This window comes from Homo sapiens, chromosome 8 (genome assembly GCF_000001405.40).
Source record: "Homo sapiens chromosome 8, GRCh38.p14 Primary Assembly".
In the NCBI taxonomy this organism is placed as follows: domain Eukaryota; kingdom Metazoa; phylum Chordata; class Mammalia; order Primates; family Hominidae; genus Homo; species Homo sapiens.
The window spans coordinates 118,039,660-118,058,001 of NC_000008.11; the positions used below are offsets into that span (position 1 = coordinate 118,039,660).

At 41.7% G+C, this 18,342-nt stretch overlaps 1 protein-coding gene across 1 annotated transcript in view, besides 3 other annotated features; it reads right to left on the bottom strand.

The window, feature by feature from the left end:
- Window positions 1–18,342, bottom strand: part of EXT1 (exostosin glycosyltransferase 1) — a 317,337-nt gene that overhangs the window by 245,170 nt on the left and 53,825 nt on the right. The window lies entirely within an intron of this gene.
- Window positions 9,699–10,200: an enhancer, noted in NCBI's record as "H3K4me1 hESC enhancer chr8:119061597-119062098 (GRCh37/hg19 assembly coordinates)". NCBI's record gives its function as "activates a minimal SCP1, AML or CMV promoter by ChIP-STARR-seq in primed H9 embryonic stem cells {active_cell/tissue: H9 hESC(primed)}" and the evidence as "EXISTENCE:reporter gene assay evidence [ECO:0000049][PMID:30033119]".
- Window positions 10,201–10,700: an enhancer, noted in NCBI's record as "H3K4me1 hESC enhancer chr8:119062099-119062598 (GRCh37/hg19 assembly coordinates)". NCBI's record gives its function as "activates a minimal SCP1, AML or CMV promoter by ChIP-STARR-seq in primed H9 embryonic stem cells {active_cell/tissue: H9 hESC(primed)}" and the evidence as "EXISTENCE:reporter gene assay evidence [ECO:0000049][PMID:30033119]".
- Window positions 16,611–16,905: an enhancer, noted in NCBI's record as "tiled region #9283; K562 Activating non-DNase unmatched - State 24:Quies". NCBI's record gives its function as "activates a minimal TATA promoter and a strong SV40 promoter by Sharpr-MPRA in K562 cells {active_cell/tissue: K562}" and the evidence as "EXISTENCE:reporter gene assay evidence [ECO:0000049][PMID:27701403]".

An 18,342-nucleotide genomic window follows, 5' to 3' on the forward strand; every position in this document is an offset into this window, starting at 1 on the left:
ATGCTGATGAATTATTTTTACTGATCACCCAAGCAGGCACCAATAATTCATGAATTCATAATTCATAAGACATGAATTATGAGTGAAGGTGAAAGGGTTTAAAAAATCCCTTCCAGTTGAACTGGTGGGATGAACTACTGACTGAGCAGGCCTGATGATTTCTTCCAGGAATAAATAAATAAACAAGTACATAAACAAAATAAAGCCACTACAGTAGAAAGGCAGAGAATAGCACTTCTCCTAAGTCCATGTAAGCATTTTGACTTTGAATTTTCATTCTGAAGTGTGGCTATGATTCAAAAATTCTGTGAAAGCGTAACAACCCAAAAAACATACAGTCCTGCAATGTTGAAATTGCTGTTTAATGAAGAAGCTTTCTGGCTCATAAAAATCTCAAATGAGAAGCAGAAAGGCCCAGTGTTTGACCTCTGGAACTTTCCTTCTCATTATGGTGAGAAACCTGATTTTGGTGTATTTTTTTTTTAACATTATTTTTAACAAACTGCTCTGTAGTTCAAAAAAGCCTGCTGGCCTAATTACCAGTCCGCAAACCACAGATTCATACTAACGCCTTTTGCAATTCTCTCTTCCTCTGTCTTTGTTTCTCAGAAATGGGAATCCCAAGTGTATTTAAAGTGATGAAAAGTTGTAAAAAACCAGGTAGCTATTTTGGTTACCTGGGAGATGGGGTGGGAAGAAATTTGAGGTATCTGTTTGGGTTCTTGATTATTTTGAACATGTTTCACACCTTCATTATCTCCTGTGCTTTGTCTATGTTTTTGCCTTGCTTCCATAAATTGGATAGCAAACCTACTGGGCCAGTGTCATCTTCAACTCTGTCAGTGGACATTTCCTTTGTGCTTCCTTCAAGAACACCCATGCTACAATTGCAACAAGGCAGACAACAGTGGGGTCCTTCTAGATCCAAAGACCACTGATATGTCTGTGGGACACCATCCAAAGGTCATCTCCTCCCTCAGCTAAGCTCCTGCAGCTTCTATTAAAACACTTACCACATTCTACCCCATTTCCAAAAGTTTTATCTCCTCCAGCAGGCAATAAGCTCCCTGGGCAGGGAACTTTCTTATTTCTCACCATTTGGTGCACAAGGTCTTAGAAAATGTTTGCGAATGAGATGAACTGCCCTTGTTTAATAAAAAGCAGCAATTGTTCACGTCAGTTCTGTCAGTTAAGCTACTAAATTTCCAACTCTAGGGTCAGTCTAGACTCAGGTCCAACCCAAGAGACAAGGTTCATGCCTGAACCACAAGCTCTCTAATCCGTCAGCTTCAGAGTCACATTACTGCAGGGGACCCAATTCTCATCAAATCAAGCTTTGCCAGTAGATGGAATTAGGAGAGGTTAATACACACATTGTTGCAAATGTACAAAATACAAAGCCACTTTTAAACATTACCTAATTTATTATAAAATTTTTATCCACAACAAAGTAGAGAATGACCAGAAGGATCTAGGTGGAACAGTCTACAACTTTAAAAAGGAGTCCTCAAGTCTGAAAAAGTCATTAAAAAGAAGTCCTCAAGTCTAAAACAGATAGGACGTTCTTTCTCTAACTAGGCATCAGAAAGCAGAGATGGTGCAGGGTAACGAGTCCAGACTTTGAAACCCTACAGTCTTCATCTCCAACTCCCATATACAACCAGTATGACTTGGTCAAATTACTCTGCATGTGATTAATCCATTTAAAATCCAGCACCTAGTAAGTGCCAGGCACCTTTTGAGGCATGGGGAATACAGCAGCAAACAAATGGATAAGGTGCCTGCCCCAAAACAATAGGAGTAGGGATAATAATAGTATCTTACCCATAGGATATTATAAGAAGTCTATACCGAGTATTACAGGTGAAGCCCTTAGCACAGTGTCTGGCCCATGCATCGTGTTCCTCAATAAATAGCTAATACTTAAAGCAGAGGTCAGTTTATATACAAGCTAGAGGAAATATAGATGTATTTTTAAACAAGAAAAAGAAAGAAAGAGAGAGAAAGAAGGAAGGAAGGAAGGAAGGAAGGAAGGAAGGAAGGAAGGAAGGAAGGAAGGAAAAAGAAAAGGGAGGTCAAGAGTTTGAGACCAGCCTGGCCAACATGGCGAAACCCTGTCTCTACTAAAAAATACAAAAATTAGCTCGGCGTGGTGGCACATGCCTGTAATCCCAGCTACTTGGGAGGCTGAGGCTGGGGAATCGCTTGAACCCAGGAGACAGAGGTTGCAGTGAGCTGAGATCACGCCACTGCATTCCAGCCTGGGTGACAGAGCGAGACTCTGCCTCAGAAAAAAAAAAAAAAAGAAAGAAAAGGAAGACTACATTGGCCAACATCACATCTGTCACCTCACTAAGCCCCGGGTTGGATGAGGAGCTCTGGCCAGCTGCATAAATGAGGACCCCCTCGTACCCCCATCTCCGCTCTTGCTCTGGTGTCTCCCCTGTTAAAGAAATTACTTTTTCCATTATGGCTGGGGAGCCCCATAAGGTCTTTGATACTTGGAGCACAAAGAAGGATTCTAAGAAATCTAACTGTGATTCCTGAATTAAAGAGGATCAAGAAGTCAACAACAAAGGAGCTCAATCAGAGGGCTTATAAGTCTTTCCCAAATCCACCTTGGTTTAGTTTTGTTTTTTGTTTTGTTTTGTTTTGATGGAGTCTTGCCCTGTTGCCCAGGCTACAGTGCAGTGGTGCCATCTCAGCTCACTGTAACCTCCGCCTCCTGATTTCAAGTGATTTTTCCTGCCTCTGCCTCCTGAGTAGCTGCGATTACAGGCACACGCTACCACACCTGGCTAGTTTTTGTATTTTTAGTAGAGATGGAGTTTCACCATGTTGGCCAGGCTGGTCTTGAACTCCTGACCTCAAGTGATCCACCCACCTCAGCCTCCCAAAGTGCTGGGATTACAGGCATGAGCCTCTGGGGGCACCTGGCCCCCACCTTGTTTTTTAATTCCAGTACTCCTTTGCCCTGCCATTCCTACAATTAGGCATGTTCTCCTGTGTTCTCTTTGTCCTGAAATACCTGGTATATTTCCATTCAACTTATATCTCCATTCATACTTAAAGACCAAGTTCGTACAACACCATGTCCAAAACCTTCCTGAACTCCAAGATGGACAGTTGCTCCTTCTCACCTCTGCCCACCTATACATTCAACACAGCCTCATCTGTTGAATCAGTCTCACTTGTTTTATGTTCATTCTGTCATTAGATTACCCTGCTTGTATGCCTAACACCAAATTAAGAGCAGAAGGCATAGCTCAATTATTATCTCACTCCCTTACAAAGAAACTTTTGAGCCCCAACTCTATGGCGCACTCTGTTTAATGTGCTAGCATATGGCAATGAACTCAGCAGTCTCAAATGCGTGCTCTATGGGACTTCCATCCTAGGGAGGAAATGTTCCTCTCCTCTTTCCACTACTGTTCTCACCAGATCAGCCTGCCCACCCACAACAAGAATTCCAGGCACACAGAGCAGTTGTGTGGGGCAGGTTTTCATGAATAAATAAATCCCCTTCACTTTTCAGTTCTTTGAAGTGTGAAGCAAAACCAAATGCCTGAAGCCATTACAGTCCACGTGGGCCATGGCCACGAAGTTCTACCCTGTATGCCACTGCCTTGGCGATTCAGTGCCCTATTTTTAAAACGAAGAGACACTTTATTCATCAAAATCCAAACTTGATACCTGCAGGGAATGGGACAGAATTATTTCCTAGGAAAGAGACCTACTCAGCCAAGAAAAACTACACTTCCAAAGTCCCTATCCAGAGTTTTCTCCACGAAGCTTCCACAGACTAATGCCATCACATGTGACTTTTTTTCTCACACTGAAGTATCTTGGCACATTTACACAGCCCACATCACATGAGCCCTCACTTATTTATATGCTGCCTTAGCATCATGTCCACTAAGGGTAACCTCATTAGAACAAAAGATAGTTGATCACCCAGGAAATTGCAAGGGATTTGGGAGCTCTGTGTAAGATATTCTCCTCCAACTCCAATGCAGACACAGTGATTATGGAAAACTCATTCTGCAGTCATAACACCTCACACAATGTGAACACACACCAGGCACTCAGTAAGTGCTTGTTATGTTTTATTTCTAGGAAAAGTTTTTACTCCTTACACCTCCACTACTGGGAGGAGGAGAGACCAAATCTATGCCAAAAAACAGGTAAAAGTCCAACTCACTTCCAGAAAGGGAATGAAACAAAATTTCCAAGAAATACCATCTACAGAATAATAACAATATTGGCCACGTGGAGCTTTCCATGATCTCATCAACTCTTTTTAAGTCTATTAAAAGTCAATATATACCTTATTTACATCAGCTCATTGTGTAGAGTTGTGATCTTAATTGGCCCTTCAAAAATTCTGCTTTGCCAGTGTCTCTTTCTTACCTTAAGATAATCGCAGTTAAACATCAGGGTTACGTATAACGCCGACTGAAATGGATTTTTTGTTCCCCTTTAGCTAACATTTTCTGTACCTTACTATGTTATAGCAACTATACAAAACTACTTTTGTGATCTCTTTCAGTGTCAAAATAACACCACAAACTTGTTCTTCTATGATCTCATTTTATAGTTGATAAAATGGAGAGTCAGAGAAGGTAAGTCACACAGTTAATGGTTGATCAAACCAGAACTGCTGCCCCCATGGCTCATATAGTGAACCAAGGGTCAGAAAACCTAGACCTGTGGGCCAAATCCAGCCTGAAATGTTTTTGGTCTTCTTTATGATTTTTTTTTTTTTGAGACGGAGTTTTACTCTTGTTGCCCAGGCTGGAGTGCAATGGCACGATCATAGCTCATTGCAACCGCCACCTCCCGGGTTCAAGCGATTCTCCTGCCTCAACCTCCTGAGTAGCTGGGATTACAGGAGTGCGCCATCATGCCTGGCTAATTTTGTATTTTTAGTAGAGACGAGGTTTCTCCATGTTGGCCAGGCTGGTCTCGAACTCCCAACCTCAGGTGATCTGCCTGCCTCGGTCTCCCAAAGTGCTGGGATTACAGGTGTGAGCCACCGTGCGCGGCTGATTTTATTTTTTATAGAGACAAGGTCTTACTCTATTACCCAGGCTGGTCGAAAACTCGTGGGCTCAAGCCGTTCTCCAGTCTCGGTCTCCCGAGTAGCTGGGACTACAGGCGCCCCACCGCATGCTTTTGTAAACAAAGTTTTATTGGAACATAGCTCATTTGTTTACATATTGTCTACAGCTGCTATCCTCTTACAAGCGTTGACTAGCTGTGACAGAGAATGTATGTGCAAAACCTAAAGCATTTACTATCTGGCGCTTCACAGAAAAAGTTTGCCAACCTCTAGTCGATACTATATAAGCAAAGATAAGACGTAAGTCTCAGCAACCTTCTAAAAGGCTCAACCATATCGTACACAAAGTACAGTGCTTTCAACAAAACAAAAGCTTTCTAATGACCTTAAAACTCTAGAGTAGGAACAGTCCTTGCCAGTCATCTACCTTCTGTTTCTGAATTCTGAGTCGAGCCCAGCGTTAGTAAATGTCTCATTACTCTAACTCCCACTTAGAAATAAATATACTCAGGATATTAGAAATATTTATTGCTCGCAGAACTGTCTGGTAATAAAGAAACTGCCCCATCACTCAAACAGCAATAGAAGATTTATCGATTTCCTATGCAAAGTATTCTACTTAGACCTAAACAAACTAGGGGAAGAAAGCACAAGTTCAACATAAAAGACAGATGGGATGGTAGCAGTGGTGTGAGCCTTTCTTCATTCACGCTCTCAAACCAGTAAAAGTTAGATATAGAGAGGTCCCTCATCCCCAAATGTGCAATCTGGGGCATGTGCGTATTAACAACATAGAATGTGGCACTGCATTGCTTGCAATGAAGGCTGCAATATAACTTTACCCAAAACCTAATTCATCATCCTTTTCCCTTTAACAATCAGCCTCTTCTATGTCATCCATCGTGAATGTTACCACCAAGACTAGAAGCTTCCATCACCACCCTCCTCCCACCTGCCACCACATATACATAATACGTATCTGAGTCCTCACACCAAATGCCTTCCTCTTTCTATTGCAGCTGCCTTCTTACTAGATAAGGGTCCCGGGCTCTCTGGATGGACTGGATGTCTTTTTTTTTTCTTTTCTTTTTTGAGACAGAGTCTCACTCCATCACCCAGGCTGGAGTGCAGTGGCATGATCTCAGCTCACTGCAACCTTCAACTCCCAGGTTGAAGCGATTCTCATGCCTCAGCCTCCTGAGTAGCTGAAATTAGAGGCACATATCACCACACACAGCTAATTTTTGTATTTTTAGTAGAGACAGGGTTTCACCATGTTGGCCAGGCTGGTCTCAAACTCCTGGCCTCAAGTGATCCGCCAGCCTCAGCCTCTTAAAGTGCTGGGATTGCAGGCATGAGCCACCGTGCCCAGCCTAGATGTCTTTTTTTTTTTTTCTTTTTGCCTAACTAGGGTCTTGGGGTATCAATGTCTCCCACTCCATTTCCTGCTCATCTTCCAGGACTGGGTCTAGTTTCCCATTCACACACCTCTGTGGCTCCTCCCTGGTTACCTAATTCTTGACTCTGTCAATTTAAGGAGCAGCAGATAAGGCTTAGTAACTTACTATTGATGTTTTGGATCCATGAGCATCAGCTAAGGCCTGCTGGAAAGCTTCAGGCAACGCACAGAGCACAGCAGCTCACCAGGACTGACCCTCACACTGGGCCCGGTGGTGTGCACTCCACCAGCACTAACTCGTCATGTCTCTCATCAAAAAATTTGGCATGTCCACTGTGCCAACAAAGTCCTGGAGACCAGGAGGGCTCAAGCACTGGCCAGAGTTCTGTGGGTAGGAAGCGGTGGGGCAGGAACTCAAACCAAGGCAGTGACTGCAGAGCTCACACTTCACACCACCTCACTCTGCCTCTGCTGCCTCTGAATTCCCTAATACTTTGTATTCCTCTGAAGTGACTTTTAGAAAATTAAACCTAGAATTACATTTATATACTTCCCTTCTAAAATTGAAAACTCCTGGAGGGTAGTGGTCTAGTTTTATTAATCTGTAAACCTCCCCAAATACCCAACCTGGTACCCAGCTGGAACTAAATGACGAACAAAGGGGTAGTCCCTCCTCCAGGAAGTATAATGGAAGAATGAAAAAGAAAAGATCGTGCAGAAAATCCATCAACAGAATACCCCTATGGGGTCTTTCTTTGTGGTCTGTTTATACCCCAACATATATTCACCAAGACTTCCTGAAAATAATTTTGAAGAAACAAAGACCATGAAAAATTAGCTGCCAGATTTGGAATGGTGTGTTTCTGTGGAGGAGGGGCAGGAACTAAAGGAATGGCCACATAGAGCGACCAGATTTCCTAAGGAGGGTAATTCATTTTACTCCAAAAATGGGGTAAAGCAGTGGTTCTCAGTCTGGCTGTGCATTAAAATCGCCTGGGGAAGTTTTAAAAATCGCCATGCCCAAGCCAACTAAATCCAACTCCAGGGGAGGGTCCAGGCAAGTGTGTTTTCTGAGGTAAGAAGAGCTGGAGTGAAGGAACCTGCATTGGAATTCTGACTCCACTAATTACTAATAACGTGACCTTGGGCAAGATACTCCCCTCCATGCATCCTTTTTCTTCAGCCCAGAACAATCCCTTACTAGCTATGTGACCTTGCAGCTCAGTTTCCTTTCGTGTAAAATGGAAATCATAATAGTACTTAACCCTCTTAGGTTTATTTTAAGCACTAAATAAGGATACATCAAAGTTCTTAGAACAGGGCCCAGGACATAGAGAGCACTCAATCAACGTTAGCTACTTTTATCATCAAAGGTACAGTGAGTTTACAATACTTGCCTCCCAAGCTAAGGACTAAATACAAAGTACTTGATATAAAAAGTACCTAATAAATGGTGCTCTCTTTTCCCATCCATACATCTCACTCACAATTATCTCTGAATATGTGATCGAACCTGAAGGCCTTCAGGATAGAGAAAACTAATTCCCCAACACTCACTTGGGGATGCCAGATAAAATACAGAGCATACTTAATACGAAAAAATATCTGCTATTTATCTGAAATTGAAATTTAACTGGATGCCCCATAGTTCTCTTTGCTAAATCTGGCAACCCTACATTCACCTGTCACCTACATTTAGGCTACAAGTAAAGTGGGAGGCAGAGTCTAGTCCATGGAGGCACCACAATCAATCAATCAATCAATTAATCAATCAATACCTAGCATGGTGATGCACACCTGTAATCTCAAGCTGGAGAATTGCTTGAATCCGGGAGGCAGAGGTTGCAGTGAGCAGAGATCATACCACTGCACTCTGGCCTGGACAACAGAACAAGAATTAATATTAAAAAAAAAAAAAATCAGTACCTGGGAACTCCCTAGGTTTGCTCCCTGGAAGCCATAAGACATCTTACTACAATTCATAAGCAGCTCTCCAGCCTTCCTACATAGGGCAAGTCAATGCATTGTTCAGATGAACAAAACACAGGAGGAAACTACTCAAAGGCAACAGAGGGCAAGAAGAGAGAAACCTTTCCTAAAGTGACCTCTCCATTTTGCAGTCACTTATCAAACACCTAAATCAAGTGAACAGGAAGATTTGAACAGAAACCTTTGCCTCCTGGTGGAACACACACTCCAACCATCCCACAAGGCAAAAGCCTGGCTATAAATTATTTAGCCCTATAAAAGATCAATACCAAAACCCAAAGCCATGTTATAGGCTTCAAAAGTCCTATGCCAGATAGGTCTCTAAGGTATCACCTGTTTATTTGTTGTTGTTGTTAATTTTATTTTAACCCTCCCTTTCCAAAAAAGCTAAGTTTATTTTACCCTTTCAAATCAATTTTTTTTCCCATTAGAAGAAAGGCAGAAATAACAGACCCATCAGAAAAACAACATTCCAGAAACCTATTTTAGAGGGTATTTACTTTGCATTCCCAGAGCAAGATCCCTGGAGAAATGTTAAGTTTTGAACTATGTCTACTATAATATTTGTATATGTGTAAAAAACTGAAGATTAAAAATATAGAAGTTAAGAAGCATTAAGAGCCAATGAGTCAGCCAGATCTATGAGTGGAATTAAATTAGCACTAGATTGTTCACTGATTATCACAAACAGTGAAAGCTCTCCTGCAAAGACATGTTTTCCAGTTCACTTGGTTAATCCCTTCTGAACAAGGATCCAAGGAATGAATATTATCTATCCAATGGCAAGCTACACAAATTAATCACACCCAAGCACCATGCTGACAGCCAAACACAATCTATAAAATTCCAGACTATCGTCATAAGCCAATAACAAGAACTAAAGCTCTGATACCCACTCCCCCCAGAAGAAATCCCAAATTGTAAAAGGTTTGAAATGACACTCCCACATCCATTTACAGCCAACTATTTCAGACTGGTTAGATCACATAAAAATATTTTTAAAAGAAAAAAAACAGGTAGAAGTTAATTTTTTCTTTATATATATTTCAATGGCTACAAAATAAGCTAATTTTTTAACAGCAAGAAAATTAAAAAGGCAAATGGGCATATCATTCATGGATTTGTGCAAAATTCACATTAAAACCCACACTGCAATAATAAGCACATAGCATCAGCATAATCTCCAGTTTACTTAGCTGTGCTACCACATATATTAGTAACCTAAATGTAACCTATAAGTGGGTTTGTTGATTTTTTTCTACAAACAGCAGAAACTAACTCATTTTCCTGAATAAGCAGCAGATTCAGACAGCAACCCACAGAACCCAGAATTTGTTGGCAAAGCTCCGACTTTGCAAGGTGGCTAATAACACATGGAAAAGAGACAGCACAAAGGGAAAGGGGGCCAGAAGGACAAGAAATGCCCCATTCATGGTGCCCTGCATCCCTGGCACGGTCTATTTGAATGCTGCTCTTATGAGGCTGCCAGCTTTGAAAGTAAAAAAGAGAAAAAAAATATGTGTAACTTAAGTCAGAAAGAAGGGAGTTCTCTGTTTGCTGTTCTTGCTAAGAGACTAAAGAAGACATTGCCAATAAACCTTCATCTTCACGCAGGGAAGCTTTTTCTTTCTTTCTGGCCAAGGGAAGATTCAGTTTAGAAAGCAACCACATCAGCTTAACAAGAAGTGTGTTAATGGGGGAAAAACCACAGTTCTGAAGCTGGCGAAGGCAGCCCCACGACCGCCAGGGCTCCCTCGCTGACTGTCTCGGAGGCACAGGCTGCACAGGGCTCAAAATGTCACCTGTGAACCCCTCCAGCAGAAGTCACTGCTCTGTGTTACTCTCATGGAGCAATTTCTCTGAAGTTCCCCCAAATGATGATTGCCTGGTGTGTCCTTCTTTTATTCAAGGTCAAGACCAATTCTATATACCCATTCACCTTAAGGTAAAATGACATTTCACAGGGCTAAACGCCACCAGTTTATGGAGGAAAAGACACTAAATAAAGGAAGGTAGAGAGAGAGAGACATGGGTTTTTGTCTCTCCGGCTATTGTCAGACTTGCAAAGGGTATTTTTCACTCCAGTTCTGTGTGAACAGAGGACCTGAGGTAAGGCAATGAACCCGAAATATTTGTAACCTGGAGAGGGAAAGATACCAGCACTGGCTGAATATCTGTGAGGTATTTGGCAGCATGCTATACATGTATAGATGCTTTACACTCATTATCTCATTTCGTCCTCACCCAAACCTTCTAAGGTGGAATAATAATGTGTAATAGTTGCAGCTCTGAGGAAACCAAGACATAACATGGACTCTGTACTGCCTGATTCTAAAGGCTGTGCTCTTTCTATTACTGATGATTATTCATTTTCGATCTGCCTCCCAGCAGGGGTCGGCAAACTTTTCTGTGTAGAGTCAGAGAGTAAACGTTTTGGGCTTTACAAGCCATATGGTCTCTCTTGCAAGTACTCAATTCTGCCATTGTAGCAGGAGAGTGGCCAGAGACAGGAAGTAAATGAATTGAGTGTGGCTGTATTCCAATAAAACTTTATTTATGAACACTGACATTTGATTTTCATATAATTTTCACATGTCATAAAGTACTATTCTTCTTTTGATTTTTTTAACCACTTAAAAATGTGAAAGCCATTCTTAGCCCACAGACTCTAATTTGCCACACCAGGTCTACACCATCCATAAATAATATCTTGATTAATCTTGGAGGGAACTAAAGAAGAAGAAAGATGATATTGCTCTAAGAATTAGAAGGTGGAGGGAGGTGTTCTGTGCTATTTAATGTATTTTAGATCCTTATTCCCATTTCATTATAGGACATAAGTTTTCTCCATCACACCTCACAGAAAGAATGGGAAAAAAAGAATCCCTGCTATTAACATCAGCAGAGAAGGTATAATCCATACACACAAATATAGTGATGTTTTGGCCAGGTGTAGTGGCTCACGTCTATAATCCCAGCACTTTGGGAAGCCGAGGTGGGTGGATCACTTGAGCCCAGGAGTTTGAGACCAGCCTGGCCAACATGGCAAAACTCCATCTCTACCAAAAATATAAAAAATTGACAGGGCACGGTGGCATGCCCCTGTAGTCCCAGCTAATCAGGAGGCTGAGAGGCGGGTGGATCACTGGAGCTCGGAGGTCGAGGCTGCAGTGAGCCATGATGGTACCACTGCACACCAGCCTGGGTGACAGAGCAAGATCCTATCTCAAAAAAACAAAACAAAAGGAATGTTTTGAGTAAATTCAGTTTACATATTAGCATATGATTTTGAAATTTATCCTTTTATTCTCGCTATAAAACATCCTATAAATTCAGTTTGCATCCTGTGCCTTTCAGTTAAACAAAAATTGAATAAAGCCAGTTTTAAAAAAGTCACAAAAGTTGAAGAAGAATTGATGGGCCAGGGAAAACACAAAGTAAAGAGAAAGTCCTGGCAACCCTGGCCAGGGATCAGTGAGACACAGGAACATCTTTCCAAGCTGTCAATGACAGGCTGATTTACTAATTTTAGAGTATGGAGGTACAGAGTTAACTTACCAACTAATCAATGTGTTTTCTCCCTTGACTGTTTCCAAACACGGAGTGCTGGTCAGTTGCTTCAGGTAAACCCAATCAGCTATAAACACTACGCTAACAATATCGTAAGATCAATCAAGCACTAAATTGCTCCTGAAAATATACTGTCTCTTCTGGCTTTATTTCCCCACCTGGCTGGACTACTGTTTTCTGCTGTGCATCTCCAGCATAAAGCATAACCTCATTTTGAAGTCAGGCGTGGCCTTGCTATTGGCCTTTGAAAGGGGGTTACCATACTGCACACTTCCTAAAAAGTAAAAGTCGGCAAGGGTGTGGAAGCATTTCTAAGTGTCAAAGACACCTTTGAGAGTAACAGATGAACTAGACTTAGAAGCTGGGAGTCTTTGCCCTCTTCATGCCCTTTTACGTTAAGGTCATCATGTCAACTAAACCTTAGCATTTTCCAATCTTTAATAAATGGGAAGGGGAGCTGAACGCAAACATGATTAAAACCACTTCCTAGAACTCAGAGGTGAAGGCACCACAAAACATTGGCTAGTAGGCAATATGATGGATTGTTATCTTTTGTCAATCAACTTGAAATGTTTAGGAAAGACTGTCAAAAAATTCTTAAAACATTTCCTCATAATATAGTTGGATTTTTAAAATCTTTGTACTCTTTATTTCAATGAATAGGCCTGAATGACAAAATATGGATAAACATTTTGTTTTTACTTCAGTGTCTGTTATTCTATTCTAGTTTTGTTTTATGGTTACTTGTATTTCTATCATTTTTCTCATTCCAGTCCTAACAGCAGTACATTTAACAAGAATGCCAAATGAACCTGAACTGCTGGAAGGATTTTACATACTTGTAAGACAACTGGGCTAATGTGGGCATCATAGTCACAGAATGATATGTGCAAGGCCATAGAAGAAGCTCCAAATCTAAGAGGTAAAAAAACAAACAAATGAAAAACTTTAAACCCCATTTAATAGCCACCTCTCCAAAAGAAGTACTAGTCCAAATGATTCTTGCTTTGTTCTGAAACATTTCCAGTGATGTTCCAAAGCAGCATAGGTTCATTAGATCAGGTGAGTAAGGAAAGTTAACAAGAAGCAAACGTTATTAAATAGCCTCTGTTTAGGATAGAGGAGGCCCATCTGTCTGCAGTGAAGGCAACACAAGAGCTTACAAATAATCTGCCTTCCCCAAGGTACATGGCTCCAGGACACCTCCTTTGTGTGCTTGGAATGTGAAGAATTTAGGAGACAATCCTAGACTGTTGCAGTGTTGGGGGATCCTTGTTTGAATTGGGGACACAATGCAGCCGGCTGCCACTCATGACCTTGATAAGCCAATGCATTCATCACTCTGCCAGTCTCCATGCTGGTCTCACCATCATCAGAGTGGTGGGGAGGAAATCCTAATTTGTTGAAGCCTGACACATCCCTAGTAGCATCTCCTAAGCAGCTTCTAAAATAATCTGTTGTAAAAGCAGCAGAATGCTTGGGTTGGAGAATGGTCACAAACTGGCTATGACACGAGGTCTCAAGTGTCACTGAAAAGTCCCATTGAAATGGAGGTCGGTTCTAAGCCCTTTTGTGGTCTGTGGTGGTCGTTCAGTGCCAAGAAGAGGGAGATGACCCTTCGGCCAATGTCCCTCTCAGGAGTTCCTTTACAGCACACCACGACTCCCTTCAGTAACATCCACTTCATGCCCTTGATATCCTTTTCTTCTGCTCTGTTCAAAAAGACTTCACTTTTACATTATAATCTGAAGATCTTTCAGTGGGCCCAGAGAAAAAGAATCAACTCAGGGACAAAGTACATTTTCCACATTGATCTTTCAATAGCCTCATGTCTGACTAATTTTTTAACGGGTCTTTTCAAAAGATGGGTCCTTTAAAAAACAACTCAAGAGAGCTAGAGACAGGAAGATCCCCTTTTCTTCAAAGTCTTTCCAATAAAGGAGGAGTAATGCTGTTTTCTTTAAGCAAATAATCGGTGGCCTCAGTTACAATTTAACTTACTGATTTAAGGTAGGTGCAATTATTGCCCCCATTTTACACATGAGGGAGCTGAAGTACAACAGGTTATTTGCCAAAGACCATACAGCTTATAAGTGGCCTTGCTGTCAATGCTCTGAACCATGTTACTTCTGCTACACCTCTATAATTAGAGCAGTTCATTCTATTATTTTAAATGAACTCCACTCCTTTCTCCCTTCCAACACTGAAATGAAAATCTCATCTTCACTGATGCTTAGTCTAATTACTAAAGCAGTGGTCTTCAGTGACCCCACCAAGGCACATCTGGCAGTCAGGAGATATTTTTGACTGTCATGTGTATGGGGGTGAAGAATGCTACCTACTGGCATCCAGTGGGTGGAGGCCAGGGATGCTGTTAAACATCCTATAATGTACAGGGCAAGTCTCCATGACACAGAGTCATCCAGACCACAATATCAATAATGCTGAACAGTCAGATAAGTATTTTCATGACACAGGTCTTCCTCCCTCCATTGCTCTTCTCATTTCTACCATTTTCACCATAGCAATGGTCTGTTGAGTATTTGTGCCCCAAACTAGCTAGGAAGCCATCTTTCCTAGTAAGTAGGATTTCTTGCCCTTCCCCTACCTGATCTCCCCTACTTCCTCAAGAAACCTAACAGATTTATGTAGTCCCATTTCTGCACTTTGAGTCAAACCATTCCACTTCATGTAACTCCTATACAGTCTTCCAAGCCTATTCCAAGTGAAGTTTTGCCTGAGAAGGCCAGTCCACAGCAACTACATCCTCCTCCTGGAATCTGAACTTCCAGTTTTGCAATTAAAGTGATGATAATAATCGCTGCCACTGCATTCCTACCATGTGCCCCACACTTTGGCCAAGCATTTGATACATATTATTGCTAATCCTTCAAACGACCCTAAAATAAAGATACTGCCATCTCCATTTTTCCCTAGGACTAAAGAGAAGCTAAGAGAAGGTAAAGGAGTTCAAAAGCTTTAACCCAAGGAGTGGGAAAACCAGGATTGAAACCCACATCAGACTAACTCCAGAGCCCAGCTCTTTCCAAATGGGTCCCACTACCAGGCACAGTTAAGCTCACATACATCTCTCATTCTCTCAAAGTACCTGGAAGAATTTCAATAAATACCTGTTGACTGACTGATCAAACAATAATAACCTCTCTGGGGTTCCGAGGCCGCTCTGAGAGTGAGCCTCTCATTGTACAATTTCTCTTTTATTACTCCCACACATTAATGGGTCATTCTCCTTGCCTTCCCTTACTGTATGTATATGTATATATATATATATAAATTTTTTAACAGCTTTATGGAGCTATAATTGATATGCGATAAATTGCACATTGGTAAACTGTATATTTTGATAAGTTTGACATGCATATGCACTCATGCATCCACTTCCAATATTAAGTTAATAAAATACCCATCACTCTTTAAAGTTTTTGCACTCTCTTTTCCTTACCATCCACTCCAACCATTGTACTGCAACCACTAATCTGTCTCCTGTCATTGTACATTAATTTGCATCTCCTAGAAGTCTGTATAAATGGCATCCTATAACCTATACATTCTTTCTTCTCTGGCTTCTTCACTCAGCATATTTTGGGATCATCCATGTCAGCATGTATCAATAGTTTGTTCTCTTTTATTGCTGAATATTATTCCACTGCATGGATATAGCACAGTCTACTCATCCATTCACCTCTGATGGGCATCTGCGTTGTTTCCAGTTTGTGGCTACTATAAATAAAGCTGCTGTGAACACGTGTAGACAAATCACCATTCTCTTTAAAATCCACCTCTATCTGAAGAAGAATTTTGCCAGATCATACAGCTGTATTAAATTTTGAACGGTTTTTCCAGTATAAAGAAATGGAGATGAGAAACAAAACCTCATTCTCTTTTTGAATGCATACCAGGGCATGGTTTTCCAGGACAGATGGCTGGTCTTGTCATTTGGACCCATCCCTTGATAATAACTAAGTCTAATTTCAGTTTCCTTATGTATAAAATCAATATAATAGAGCCTCCTTCATAGGGCTATTGGGAAGATTAAATGATTATTATTATTCTCGCAAAATCTTAATCTCAAACCAGTGTGTGGCGAGTGCTTAATAAATATGGGCTATGATTACTATTAATCTTAACATCTATTATGAAAAATGATTAACCCTCATTATGCCTTCAAACAGAAATTCCTATGATTTCTGCCAAATTTCTCTATTCAGATTTTACCTTAAGTGACCATTCTACCACTATGACATCATATAGCAAACAAATGATGGTCTAACACAGGGATGTCCAATCTTTTGGCTTCCCTGGGCCACACTGGAAGAAGAACTGTCTTGGGCTACACATAAAATACATTAACACTTGTGATAGCTGATGAGCTAGGAAAAAAAAAATCACAGAAAATATCATAATGTTTTTTAAAAGTTTACGAATTTGTGTTGGGTTGCATTCAAAGCCATTCTGTGCTGCAGGTGGCCCACAGGCCACAGGTTGGACAAACTTGGTCTAACACAATGCTTCTCAAACCTTTTTGAAACCCTGCCCCCTTTAGAAAAACAAAAATATATATACATCTTGAAAGAATTGACACATGGTGCCTAAAAACACACCAATATAACCTTTCCCCTGGGTCTAACAGGACAGCACTAGTGAGAACATGCTGCAGTCTTCTAACTAGCAGCTCCCTGTGAATCATCTGATTACTCATTCATCAGAGAGAAGGAAATGAATGGACTCAGTGAAACCCAACTAGTTTCCAGGAAGCCTGTGATAAACATCCCCCCTACCCCGGCTTACATTGCATCTTACCACTTACTACCTATCAGGCCCCTAAGATCTACCCCTTGTATTTTCACACATGCGGGCAAGTCTGAAAAGGGACCGTTTGAAAGAGAAGTACTTGGCCCTGGGTGAAGGAGAGAAAGGTCTGTAATTCAAGCCTGGGTGACCATCCATGAGGAAGGCTAGGAAGGAGCCTAGTGCTGGGGGGTCCTCTGGCCTAGACAGTAAGCTTCCCACAAAAAGATGGCAGGTGTGATAACTAGACATACACATTATCAGAAGAACGCTTTGACAAGGCAAATTGTCAAGGAGTTCTACCAGAGAAGAGAGCCTGGAAGAGAACTTTATGTATCTTTCCAACCACAGCTGGGAATGAAGGGCCTGGTGGGCTTGGAAAGCATAGCTTAAGAGCACAGGATGACGACTCAGTCAGACTTAGGAGAACAACTCCTCACAACCAACTATGCCATTACCAAAAAGCCATGGAGGTGTGACTTGGTTTCCTAAACACAGGCCCTGGGATACAGGACAGGAACGTCCTCCAGGATGCTCTTCCTTATGATGATCATAGGTGAACACAGACACGAAGGACAGGACTGCTCTCCTCCTCCACCCCAAATCACTGCCCTCTCTAAAAAGCCTTTCCTAACCCTCATCACATAATAGATGCTCAACAGTTATGTGCTGAATTGTGATTGGTTAATTCGTGAATGTTCAACTTCCATTCTTATGTTCTACACCTGGGCCATAACAAGTCTCCTAAGAGCCTTGAAAAGGCAGTCTTGGCCAGGCGCAATGGCTCACATCTGTAATCCCAACACTTTGGGAGGCCGAGGCAGGTGGATCACCTGAGGTCAGGATTTCAAGACTAGCCTGGTCAACATGGTGAAACCCCAACTCTACTAAAAATACAAAAAATTAGCCGGGTGTGATGGCTGATGCCATAATCCCAGCGACTCAGAGGGCTGAGGCAAGGGAATCACTTGAACCCAGGAGGGAGGCAAAGGTTGCAGTGAGCCAAGATCAGGCCATGGCACTCCAGCATGGGCAACAAGAGCGAAACTCCATCTTAATTTAAAAAAAAAGAAAAAGAAAAAGAAGAAAGAAAAGGCAGTCTTCCCACTAAGTAGCTAGGATTGTTAAGCACTCCAGTCAGTGCCTAACATATTGAGGGGTTCAAAAAATGTCTGGTCTCTTTAAAAAAAAAATCTAAAGTGAGGCTGGGCGTGGTGGCTCACGCCTGTAATCCCAGCACTTTGGGAGGCCGAGGCGGGAGGATCACCTGAGGTCAGAAGATCGAGACCATCATGGCCAACATGGTGAAACCCCATCTCTACTAAAAATAAAAAATTAGCCAGGCACGGTGGCAGGCGCCTGTAGTCCCAGCTACGTGGGAGGCTGAGGAGGAGAATCGCTTGAACCCAGGAGGCAGAGGTTGCAGTGAGCCAAGATTGCGCCACTGCACTCCAGCCTGGCAACAGAGTTAGACCCCATCTCAAAAGAAAAAAAAAAAAAAAAAGGAAAAGAA